General features: G+C 40.4%; 1 protein-coding gene across 5 annotated transcripts in view, besides 2 other annotated features; it reads left to right on the top strand.

The window, feature by feature from the left end:
• Positions 1-11,809, top strand: part of KIF3A (kinesin family member 3A) — a 48,735-nt gene continuing 36,926 nt past the window's right edge. For all 5 annotated transcript variants that reach the window (XM_017008996.3, XM_006714526.5, NM_007054.7 and 2 more), the window contains exons 1-4: positions 1-133; positions 3,069-3,342; positions 11,049-11,193; positions 11,335-11,419. In XM_017008996.3, the coding sequence (XP_016864485.1) occupies positions 128-133; positions 3,069-3,342; positions 11,049-11,193; positions 11,335-11,419 (510 nt within the window). In that variant the 5' untranslated portion in view covers positions 1-127. The remainder of the gene's footprint in view (positions 134-3,068; positions 3,343-11,048; positions 11,194-11,334; positions 11,420-11,809) is intronic.
• Positions 137-446: a silencer, noted in NCBI's record as "silent region_16332". NCBI's record gives its function as "represses an Ori minimal core promoter by ATAC-STARR-seq in GM12878 lymphoblastoid cells {active_cell/tissue: GM12878}" and the evidence as "EXISTENCE:reporter gene assay evidence [ECO:0000049][PMID:35858748]".
• Positions 597-696: an enhancer, noted in NCBI's record as "active region_23094". NCBI's record gives its function as "activates an Ori minimal core promoter by ATAC-STARR-seq in GM12878 lymphoblastoid cells {active_cell/tissue: GM12878}" and the evidence as "EXISTENCE:reporter gene assay evidence [ECO:0000049][PMID:35858748]".

Raw genomic sequence — 11,809 nt, 5'->3', positions numbered from 1 at the left:
GAGAAGCCGCAGTCTCGAGAGCGTCAACGAGGTGTTTCGGTAGTCTCTGGCCATCCTTTCTGCGCACCCGGTGTCGCTGGGCTGCACCCCGGGCGGGGACGTCCGCCGGGCACGGGAGGGGGCCAAGATGCCGGTGAGGAGAGTCGCTTCGCTTCTGGGGTTTCTTCTCATCCTAGCGGCCTGGCCCGGGGGCGCGGCCGTTGCCATGGAGGCGCGGAGCCGGCAGGCGGCCTGGGTGGGGCGGGGCAGGCTCGGTCGTGCGGTGGAGGTGGTTGGAGAGCCTGGCTGGTCAGCCCCGGGGCCGCGGGGGTCCGGCCGGCCTCGACAGGGACCTGGGGTCAGGCCCTGCCGCCCTCGTCGCTGCTGCATCCCGTGGGGCCTGCGCCGCTTATCAAAAAGGCGCTGTGCTGGAGGATGCGCTCTGGCTCGCAGCCCTTCCTGCTGAGCGGGGCGTCTGGGGGTGGCCACGGTGGGGCTCTTTGGATGCTGCACACCTGGTGAGGCCTTTGCGCCTCGGAGCAAGCGCAGGGAGGCAGCGGAGCGAAGGCTGCCTGCCCCTATTCCAGGCCCCATACTCCGAGTCTCCTAGCCTTGAGCTGTCATTGCTCTTGTGGCGCTTTAGCTTATGATGCAGAATGAAACCCGTAGGTGTCTTTGTGTGTGTGGCGGTGTTATGTTTATCTTCCAGGATTTCACAGATTGTTATCGTGAACTTAATAATGGGGCCTTCTAAGACCCCTTATTAGGGGTCATGGAGGAAAATTGAGCCATGGCCGCTTATTTAGTGGTTGTGAGGCCTCGGATAATTATTTAATCTGTCTGGGTCCTTAGTTCCCATGTAAACTTTACCTCATGGGGTTGTTATCCGCGTGAAATAATACACAGGAGACTAGAAGGACAGTGCTTGACATTTAAGATTAAATGCTCTATATTTGTTCTGTTCACTGCTTTCAAGTTTTAATTCAGTAAATATTGGGCACCAACCACATGCTAGGCCCTGAAGATACAACATTGAGCAACACCAGTCAGGTTCTTGAACTTGGAAAGAGAGAGGCTTGCCTTCTTGGGCAGAGGTGAAAATCATACATATTTACAGACGTAAGACACAAAACCTTAATAATGAAGTGGGTGGGTATCCTACAATAGAGAGAAGTAGATTCTGGTGAATTGGAATGTATTGCCATGTAAGAATGATGGTCTGCAGATGATAACAGGTCATTTTTTTTCCTCCCAAGAAGAGACTTTAGAAATTATTTTTGTGAAATTTCTCAATTTTAGCAACTAATTCAAAAGCTCTTTAAATACTATGAACCAAACAAAAGAAATTTGTGGGCTGAATTCAGCCTCTTGACTACCTGTTTGCAACCTCTGGTGTAGACAGAAAGACATTAATCAAATAAGGAACAAGCAAAAGTAAAATTTGTGTCCAGGAAGGGGAGAGCAGGGTGCTCTCTGAGCCTATAAGAGTATTTGACCTAGTCAGGAAGTCTTCCCAGGTGAAGTGGCTGTTGAGTTCTGAAGGATAAGTAGATGTTAACTAAGTGAAGAGGGGATTGAAGATGGTTCTAGGTAGAAGGAACAGCACATGGAAAGGCCAGTGGTGAGGAGCATGGTGACAAGAAAAGGCCAAGCAGCTCAGTGTGGCTGTGGCATGGATGAGCCAGGCAGAATATCTTGTGAAATAAGCCCAGTGAAGCAGACGTGGGTGGAAGCCAGACCTTACAGACCACCTTAAGGATTCTGGTTTTTGTTCTGAGATCTATGGGAAACCACTGAAGAATTTTTAAGTAGGAGAGTGACATGATTAGATGTGTGTTGACACTGACTGCTATTTGGAGAATAGGCAGTAGGGCAATCTGATTAGATTCAGGAGTATAGTTAGGAGGCAGTAATCCAGGGCCAAGATGATGGTGATTTAGACTAGGGTGATGAATAGATGAGAGGAATAGGATGAGAGATAGATAGAAGTGTATTGTACTGATATAATCTGTTACTTGTCAGTGACAATGTCAGAGTCAATGACAATGACTCATATTTGTTTCTCTTCAATGCTTAGAAGAGAATCTGAAACAGTAGGAATTTAACAAGTATCTGTTCAACTAAACTGTCCTTTTCACTTCAATAATAGGATTGTGTTTCATTATATTTTCTTAATCATAAAATTTCAGAAATGACGGGGTGCGGTGGCACATGCCTGTAATCTCAGCACTTTGGGAGGCCGAGGTGGGTGGATCACTTGCGGTCAGGAGTTCGAGACCAGCCTGGCCAACATGATGAAATTCCGTCTCTACTAAAAATACAAAAATTAGCTGGGCATGGTGATGGACGCCTGTAATCCTAGCTGCTGGGGAGGCTGAGGCAGCAGAATCGCTTGAGCCTGGGAGGCAGAGGTTGCAGTGAGCTGAGATCACGCCACTGCACTCCAGCCTGGGTGACAGGGTGAGACTGTGCCTCATAAATAAGAAAAAAAAAATTCAGAAATGGAAACTTTACATATACAAATGCTTATAAGGTTAGGTAATACTAAGGCATTTTTCTTTGCCATTAGACTTTCATTTCTGTCTTTATCTTATTATTGTTTTCTGTAGAGAAGATAAGCCATATATGGATATATTACATGATAAAAACCATTTTACAGATGCGTGATAGGAAATAAAACTAAAGTCTCAGGGGAAACAAAGGACCTACTATTTTCTTGAGTTAAAGTTGTTAACCATGTTCACATGTGTTTTCCTACAGGCAGGAAACGCTGGGTCAGAGACTTTTGTGCAAAAAGATGATCTATAATATACTGGTTCAGTTTCTGCTTGTACAGCCTTTGCCACAAATGTGAACTAGCTCTTCTCTCCCTTTTACATTTTAAAAGAAACGATTTTCCTTTTTGTATCTTTTAATAAACTTTTCAGCTATATGTAAGATCTTTAATTGCATTTAACAAATACCTGTGAAGTGTTTAATGTGTGCAAGGCACTGAGTTGGAAAAGTAGCCTTTTAAAGTTTATAAATTTAATCTGATGAGGGTAAAAATTAATGTTCTTTTCATTATTTGTAAATATTATCTCCAACAGATCAATAAATCAGAGAAGCCAGAAAGCTGCGATAATGTGAAGGTTGTTGTTAGGTGCCGGCCCCTCAATGAGAGAGAGAAATCAATGTGCTACAAACAGGCTGTCAGTGTGGATGAGATGAGGGGAACTATCACTGTACATAAGACTGATTCTTCCAATGAACCTCCAAAGACATTTACTTTTGATACTGTTTTTGGACCAGAGAGTAAACAACTTGATGTTTATAACTTAACTGCAAGACCTATTATTGATTCTGTACTTGAAGGCTACAATGGTAAGTGAATCTTTACTTTTTAAAAAACTCCCTTATTGAGACATAATTACTGTGCCATAAATTCACATATTGCAGCTGTGCAGTTTGATGAGTGTAGTAAATATATACAGTTGTGAAACCATCATCACAATCCAGCTTTAGAACACCCTTGTCATCCTCAAAATTTCCTTTATGCCCATTTGCAGACCCACCCCCAAGCAACTATTGATCTGCTTTCTGTCACTATAATTTTGCCTTTTCTTGAAATGTCATATAAATGATGTCATATAATATGTCACCTTTTTTATCTGTTTTCTTTCACATCAAATAATGTTTTTGAAGTTTATCCTGCTAGGATTTTCATAGGGATTGTGTTGAATTGTCATTCTGACAATATTGAGTCTTCAGTCCATGAACATGATACTTCTCTTCATTTAAAACGTTGAAACATTAATGAATTATGGACAGGGTCTTGCTCTGTTGCCCAGGCTGGAGTGCAGTGGTGCAGTCATAGCTTACTGCAGCCTTGAACCTGGGCTGAAGCTATCCTCTCACTTCTGCCTCCTGAGTAATGAGAACTACAGCTGTGCGCCACCACACCTGGCTCATTTTTTTGTTTTTGTAAAGACTGGGTCTTGCTGTGTTGCTCAGTCAGGTCTTGAACTCCTAGGCTCAAGCAATCTCCTACTGAGGCCTTTCAAAGCCCTGGGATTTCCCATGTCAGCTACCATGTCCAGCTTCTCTCCATTTATTTATATCTTAATTTCTCTCATCTGTATTTTGTAGCTTTTAGTGTACAAGTATTGCACTTGTTTTGATTAATTTATTCCTAAGTATTTTTTTGATGCTATTGTGAATAGGATTGCTTTCATAATTTCAATTTTGGATTGTGTGTTACTAATATATAGAGATGAAATTGATTTCTTTAGGTAGCTTTTGTGATAAAATTCAAATATCAAATTTATGATTTTAACCATTTTACACTTTATAGTTCATAGGTACATTTACAATGTCGTACAGCTGTCACCGCTGTCTGTTTCCAGAACATTTCTATCACTCCAAAAAGAAACCCTGTATCCATTAGCAGTCAGTCACTCCCAATCCATTACCACCTCCCTTCCCCCAACCCAGCAACTACTAATTTACTGTCTATATCTATTCTATGAGTTTGCCTATTCTGGACATTTTCTATAAATGGAATTATATGCTATGTGGCCTTTTGTGAATAACTTCTTTCACTTACAGTGTTTTCAAGCTTCATCCCTATTGTAACATATAAACATATATCAGCAATTCATTACTTTTTTTTTTTTTTTGGAGACGGAGTCTTGCTCTGTCGCCCAGGCTGGATTGCAGTGGCGTGATCTTGGCTCACTGCAACTTCTGCCTCCTGGGTTCAAGCGATTCTCCTGCCTCAGCCTCCTGAGTAGCTGGGACTACAGGCGCCCGCCAACACACCCAGCTAATTTTTTGTGTTTTTAGTAGAGACGGGGTTTCACCGTGTTAGCCAGGATGGTCTTGATCTCCTGACCTTGTGATCCGCCTGTCTCAGCCTCTGAAAGTGCTGGGATTACAGGCGTGAGCCACTGCACCTGGCTGATTTTTGTATTTTTAGTAGAGACGGGGTTTCACCATATTGGCCAGGCTGGTTTTGAACTCCTGATCTTGTGATCCACCCGCCTCGGCCTCCCAAAGTGCTGAGATTACAGGCGTGAGCCATTGCACTAGGCCAGCAATTCATTATTTTTTATGTCTGAATAATATTGTATAGATATATCATATTTTGTTTATCCATTTATTAGTTGGTGAACATTTGTTGTTTCTACTTTTTAGCTATTACAGATAATGTTACTTTGAACATTCTTTTACAGATTTTTGTGTGAACATATGTTTAGTTTCTCTTGGGTATATACCTAAGAGTGGAATTACTAGGTCACATGGTAACTTTGTTTAATGTTTTGAGGAGCTGCCAAACTTTTCTACAGTAGCTACACCATTTTATATTCCCATCAGCAATGTGTGAGGTTTCTGATTTCTTCACATCTTTGCCAGCACTTGTTACTGTCTTTTTGATGACTGCCCTCTTAGTACCCACAGTTGATTTTTGTATATTGACCTTGTATCCTGAAACTTTGCTAAACTTATTAATTCTAGTAGTTTTTTTATGTTTTGGGTTTTTTGTAAATTTTGTAGGATTTTCTACTTGTAAGAATATGTTGGCCAGGCACAGTGGCTCACGCCTGTAATCCCAGCACATTGGAGGCCGAGGCAGGCAGATCACGAGGTCGGGAGTTCGAGACTAGCCTGACCAACATGGTGAAACCCTGTCTCTACTAAAAATAAAAAAATTAGCCAGGCATGGTGGCACGTGCCTGTAATCCCAGCTACTCGGGAGGCTGGGGCAGGAGAATCGCCTGAACCTCGGAGGCGGAGGTTGCAGTGAACCAAGATCGTGCCATTGCACTCCAGCCTGGGTGACAGGGCAAGACTCTGTCTCAAAAAAAAAAAAAAATGTTGTTTGCAAGTAAAGACAGTTTTTACTTTGTCCTTTCCAATCTCCTTTAATTTATTTTTGTTACCTGATAGCACCTGGAGGCTAGAACCTCCAGTAAATTAGAAGTGGTGAGAGTGGACATTTTGGTCTTGTTCCTGATCTTAGGGAAAATGCATTCATTCTTTCACCAGTATGATGATGTCTGTAAATTTTAACAGATATCCTTTGTAGGTTTGAGGAAGTTCCCTTCTATTCTTAGTTCGCTGAGAGTTTTTGGATTGTATATTGGATTTTGTCAAATGTAATTTTTTTTCTGCACCTATTGAAATAATCTTTTTTTTTAAGGTTTGTTAATATGGTCAATTACATTGATTGATTTTTGAATGTGAAACTAGCTTTGCCACTTGGTCATGATGCATTATTCTGTTCATATATTGTTAGATTTATTTGCTAAATTAAAAAAATTTTGGCATCCATGTTCATGAGGGATGTAAGTATATAGTTTTCTTCTAATGCATTTTTCTGGTTTGGGTATTGTGATAATGCTAGTTTCATAGAATGGGTTAGAAAGTATCCCCTTCTTTTCAGTTTTCTAGAAGAATTTGTCTAGAATTGGTATTATTTCTTAAATGTTTGGTAGAATTCATCAGTGAAGCCATCTGGGCTTGAAGTTTTCTTTGTGGGAAGGTTTTCAACTATTGATTCAATTTCTTTAATAGACATAAGACTATTCAGATTATGTATTTTTTCTTTTTCTCTTTAAATCAGGGTCTCACTCTGTTACCCAGGCTGGAGTACAGTGGCACAATCACAGCTCACTGCAGCCTCGACTTCCTGGCCTTAAGCAATCCTCCCACCTCAGCCTCCCCAGTAGCTGAGGCTACAGGTGTGTGCTACCACGCCTGGCTAATTTTTTCTATTATTATTATTTTTTTCTTGAAACAGGGTCTCACTCTGTCGACCAGGCTGGAGTGCAGTGGTGTGATCATGGCTCACTTAGCGTCTACCTCCCGGGCTCAAGCGATCCTCCCACTTCAGCCCCCTGAGTAGGTGGGACTATATGTGTGTGCCACCGCACCATGCCCAGCTAATTTTAATTTTTTTTTGGTAGAGATAAGGGTCTCACTATGTTTTCTAAGCTGGTCTTGAACTCCTGGACTCAACCAGTCCTCCCACCTCAGCCTTGCAAAGCACTGGGATTACAGACATGAGCTACCGTGCCCGGCCAGGTTATCTATTTTTTCTTTTTTTTTTTTTCTTTTTTTGAGACAGAGTCTTGCTCTGTTGCCCAGGCTGGAGTGCAGTGGCGCGATCTCGGCTCACTGTCTCCTCTGCTTCCCCGGGTTCCAGCGATTCTCTCGCCTCAGCCACCTGGGTAGCTGGGATTACAGGCACACGCCACCATGCCTGGCTCATTTTTGTAGTTTTAGTAGGGACGGGTTTCACCGTATTGGCCAGGCTGGTCTCAAACTACTGACCTCAGGTGATCCGCCTGCCTTGGCCTCCCGGAGTGCTGGGATTACAGGCGTGAGCCACCGTGCCCAGCCAGTTTTTTCTTAAGTGAGGTTTGGTAGCTTGTCTTTCACGGAATTAGTCCGTTTCATCTAAGTTGTCAAATTCATTGGCAAAAGGTTGTTTATACTATTCCCTTATTATTCTTTTAGTATGTTGAATGTAGTGGTATAACTTTTCTCATTTTTGATATTGGTAACTTACGTCTTTTCTTTTTTTCCTGATTAGTCTGACTAGAGGTTTATCTTATCGATCTTCTCAGAGAACCAGCTTTTGGTTTTATTAATTTTTCTTTCTGTTTTTATGTTTCCTATTTCATCTATTTCTGCTCTGATCTTTATTTTTTTTTCTTACTTACTTTGGGCTTAATTTCCTCTTTTCTTTCTACTTAAAGTGGAAGCTGAGGCCATGGTTTGAGACCTTTTTTCCTTTCTAATATGGGAGTTTAATGCTATAAATTGCCACTGAGTACTGTTTTAGTGTCATCCCACAGATTTTGACATACTATGTTTTCATTTTCATGTAGTTCAAAATACTATTTTACCTCCTGATTTATTCTTTGATCCTGGGTTATTTAGAAATGTGTTATTTAGTTTCCAAATATTTTTAAATTCTCTAGAGATTTTTGGTTATTGGTTTCTAATTTAATCTCAATTTAGAGAACATATTTTTTATGGCTTGAATGTTTTTAAATTTATTAAGACTTGTTTTATGACCCAGAATATAGTTTTGTTGTTGTTGTTGTTTTCTGTTTGTTTTGTTTTTTTCAAGACAAGGTCTCACCCTGTCACCCAGGCTGGGGTGCAGTGGCACTATAACGGCTCATTGCAGCCTCAGCCTCCTGGACTCAAGTGATTCTCTCGCTTCAGCCTTCCCAGTAGCTGAGACTACAGGAGCATCCCACCATGTCTGGCTAATTTTTTTTTAAATTTAGTTTTAATTTCAATAAGTTTTTGGGGAACAGGTGGTGTTTAGTTACATGAATAAGTTCTTCAGTGGTGATTTCTGAGATTTTGGTGCACCCATCACCCAAGCAGTGTACACTGTACCCAATGTGTAGTCTTTTATCTCTCACTCGCCTCCCACTCTTTCCCCTGAGTTCCCAAAGTCCGCTGTATCGTTCTTACGCCTTTGCACCCTCCTAGCTTAGCTCCTACTTGTAAGTGAGAACATACGATGTTTGATTTTCTGTTCCTGAGTTACTTCTCTTAGAATAATAGTCTCTAGTTCCATCCAGGTTGCTGCCAGTGCCATTATTTTGTTCCTTTTTATGCATGCCTGGCTAATTTTTAAAATTTTTTGTAGAGATGGGGTCTCACTGTGTTGCCTAGGTGTTGCCTAGCTGGTCTTGAACTCCTGGGCTCAGGTGATTCTCCCACCTCAGCCTCTCAAAGTGCTGGGACTATAGCAGGAGCCACGGCACCCAGCCCAGAATATAGTTTATTATATTTATTTATTTATTTATTTATTTATTGTATTTTTTGAGACAGAGTCTCACTCTGTCACCCTGGCTGGAGTGCAATGGTGCGATCTTGGCTCACTGCAGCCTTCGCCTCCCAGGTTCAAGCAATTCTTGTGCTTCACCTTCCCGAGTAGCTGGGACTACAGGCATGTGCCACCACACCCAGCTAATTTTTGTATTTTTAGTAGAGGTGGAGATTCACCATGTTGGCCAGGCTGGACTCAAACTCCTGACCTCAAGTGATCTGCCCTCCTTGGCCTCCCCAAAGTTCTGGGATTACAGGCATGAGCCACCCCGCCTGGCCATAGTTTATTATCTTTAAATAATAGTAATAATAATAAATAGTGCCTATTTTTTAGGATTGGGGTGAAAGTTAAATAAGAATGCAAACATAGCTGGGAGGTGCACCTGTAATCCCAGCTATTTACAGGTGGATTACAGGCAGGAGGATTCTCCTGAGCCCAGGAGTTTGAGGCTGCAGTGAGCTATGATCGTGCCACTGCTCTCTAGTCTGAGTGACAGGGCAAGACCTCATCTCTTAAAAAAAAAGCATGTAAAGTACATGACCTAGCACATAGCAAATGATCAGTAAGTGACAGCTGATGTCCTTATAAAGCTTATTTTTTATTTAATAATTTAATGTGTCTATTCTGAAATGCAGTCTATGAGCTCATGATATTTTCTGCTTCAAGTGCAGTGTTATATTCCTAATAGCAGAGTTTGAAATACTTAGTCAGTTTGAAAAAATTAAGACTTTTTTATTCCCATGTGTAAAAAATGGCTTCTGGTATGATTCATTTATTTTCACGGAAAAGTCTGAAAAGTGTGTTATGATTATTTTCACAAAAAAAAGTCTGAGAAAAGTTGAGGTTAACTGAATAGAGTAGTATTAGTTGAGGAACCGTTTTCATATATGCCATCACATCCAAGGCTATCTTTTCTTACTACACTGTGTCCTGACCAACTACTCCAGCCCTCTGTTTCCCCACATCGACCCTTGGTTTTCTCCAATTCTTCATCCACAATATAGCCATAGTGATCATGATGTCACTCCTCTGATTGAAAAATCATTCTATGGCTTCATGTTGCTTTTAGGATAAGGTCTAAAAAGTTTAATACCGTCCTTATTATACTGTGTGATTATGGCATTGTCAGTTTCTCTAGCTCTGCCTGCATCCATCTTCCCTTTCCATCTCTGTTTCTTCCATTCTGGTCTCATTTCAGTCCTCAAAATTTCCATTCTTTTTCTTGGCTCTTGCTGTCCACACTGTTCCTATCTGATTCTTACTTGTATTTCAGATCTAAACCTTACCTCTTCTGGAAAGTCCTCCCTGACCCCCTCTCCTTTTTCCCATTACAATTCCTGTGCCTAGTTGATGTCCCTGACTCCCATCTAGAACTCCCTGTTTCTCATTCTGAATACTCATCATCATGATAAACCCAAGATTATACACATCATAAGATTAGGGATTGTGTTTGTCTTGTCACTGTGTCTCTAGTGCCTAGCACAATGCCAAACTCAGGTGTGTGGTAAATGTTTGTTGAATGAATGAATTTGGGTATTTAGAAAGTTGAGATTTTATCTTTAGTTACCTGTAATAATTGTATTGTCATCTTTTTGTTAACTCTGTTTCTTACAGCTGTTACTTTAAAACAATTGTTTAAAAACACACTTATTTTAGGATTAAGAAAAAAGCTATCATTTTACTGATACTTTCTATGAGGTGTTGTGTTGGTCACTTGAAGGAAATTGTCTCATTTGGTTCTTACTATCAATGGCGAATTTTCTTATCCCCATTTTACGGTTGAGGAGACAGTCTCTAGGTAGATAACTTGTCCAAGGTCAGTGGCTAAAAAGTGGCAGATGTGGTTTGAGACAGGTCTTCCTGCTCTAGAGCCTGTATTCTTTTTCTGTGCTTATACTGCCTTCTCCAGTTTAATGTCCACAATAAGTACTTTATATACACATGACAAGAAATGTCTCATAATTAGATATACTGGAAGATTTTTGCATTTAGGGCTTGGGATGCTTTTTATTAATTCTTAGGGATATCTCTCATTGACTGCTGTAACAGTGCTTTGTGCTTGTGGTACAGAGTACGCATTGTAATTGTTGATAATAAAGGTGAAACTTGTGCTAGAATAAATTTTGAATCCAGGGGAGAAATTACATCACAGTGTCAAAGGAATTAATTTTAAGAGCTATTGTTCTGTAGCATTAGACTTTAAGAAGTAACTGATTCTCTTCATCATTTTCAGGGACTATTTTTGCATATGGACAAACCGGAACAGGCAAAACTTTTACCATGGAAGGTGTTCGAGCTATTCCTGAACTTAGAGGAATAATTCCCAATTCATTTGCTCACATATTTGGTCATATTGCAAAAGCGGAGGGTGATACAAGGTAAAAGGGAATTCTTTTATTTTCTGATATTGAGAAGTACAAACACTGGAAAGGCACATAGGTATAAATTTTATAAACATATTTTAAAACCGTTCTTATGAATATTTCACTCTTTGACTTTTTAAAAATGATGTTTTATAGATTTTTGGTTCGAGTGTCTTATTTGGAAATATATAATGAAGAAGTTCGTGACCTTTTGGGCAAGGATCAGACACAAAGGTTAGAGGTAAGGATAATTGAAATTGGTGGAGTACTTTTTCCAAAGCAATAGAATATTTGCTAAATTAAGGTCCCCCTTCTTTTTTTAAACAAAAGTTGCTTTTTATATTTTAAATAATCTCGTACATATATAATGTCGTACATCTGCAGACATATCTGGGGATAAATTACTGAAGCAGGATTGCTGAGTCAGGTGGTAAATTATTGGTAAATTTGATATTGCTGCATATTTTAATATTTTAAGATGTGAGACATACAGCAAGGAAAAGGTTAATACTGGAATTTTAGTTGGATTGCATCACCAGTAAAATAGAGGAGAATAATGTATGTAGAGTAACATGTAGAACAGCAGTAGCTGCCATTGTAGAATAATATAGAGCATTTGTAGAACAGCAGC

This window comes from Homo sapiens, chromosome 5 (genome assembly GCF_000001405.40).
Source record: "Homo sapiens chromosome 5, GRCh38.p14 Primary Assembly".
NCBI classification, from domain to species: domain Eukaryota; kingdom Metazoa; phylum Chordata; class Mammalia; order Primates; family Hominidae; genus Homo; species Homo sapiens.
Note: the sequence above shows the minus strand (reverse complement) of the source record. Positions and strands in the feature narration are given on the sequence as shown.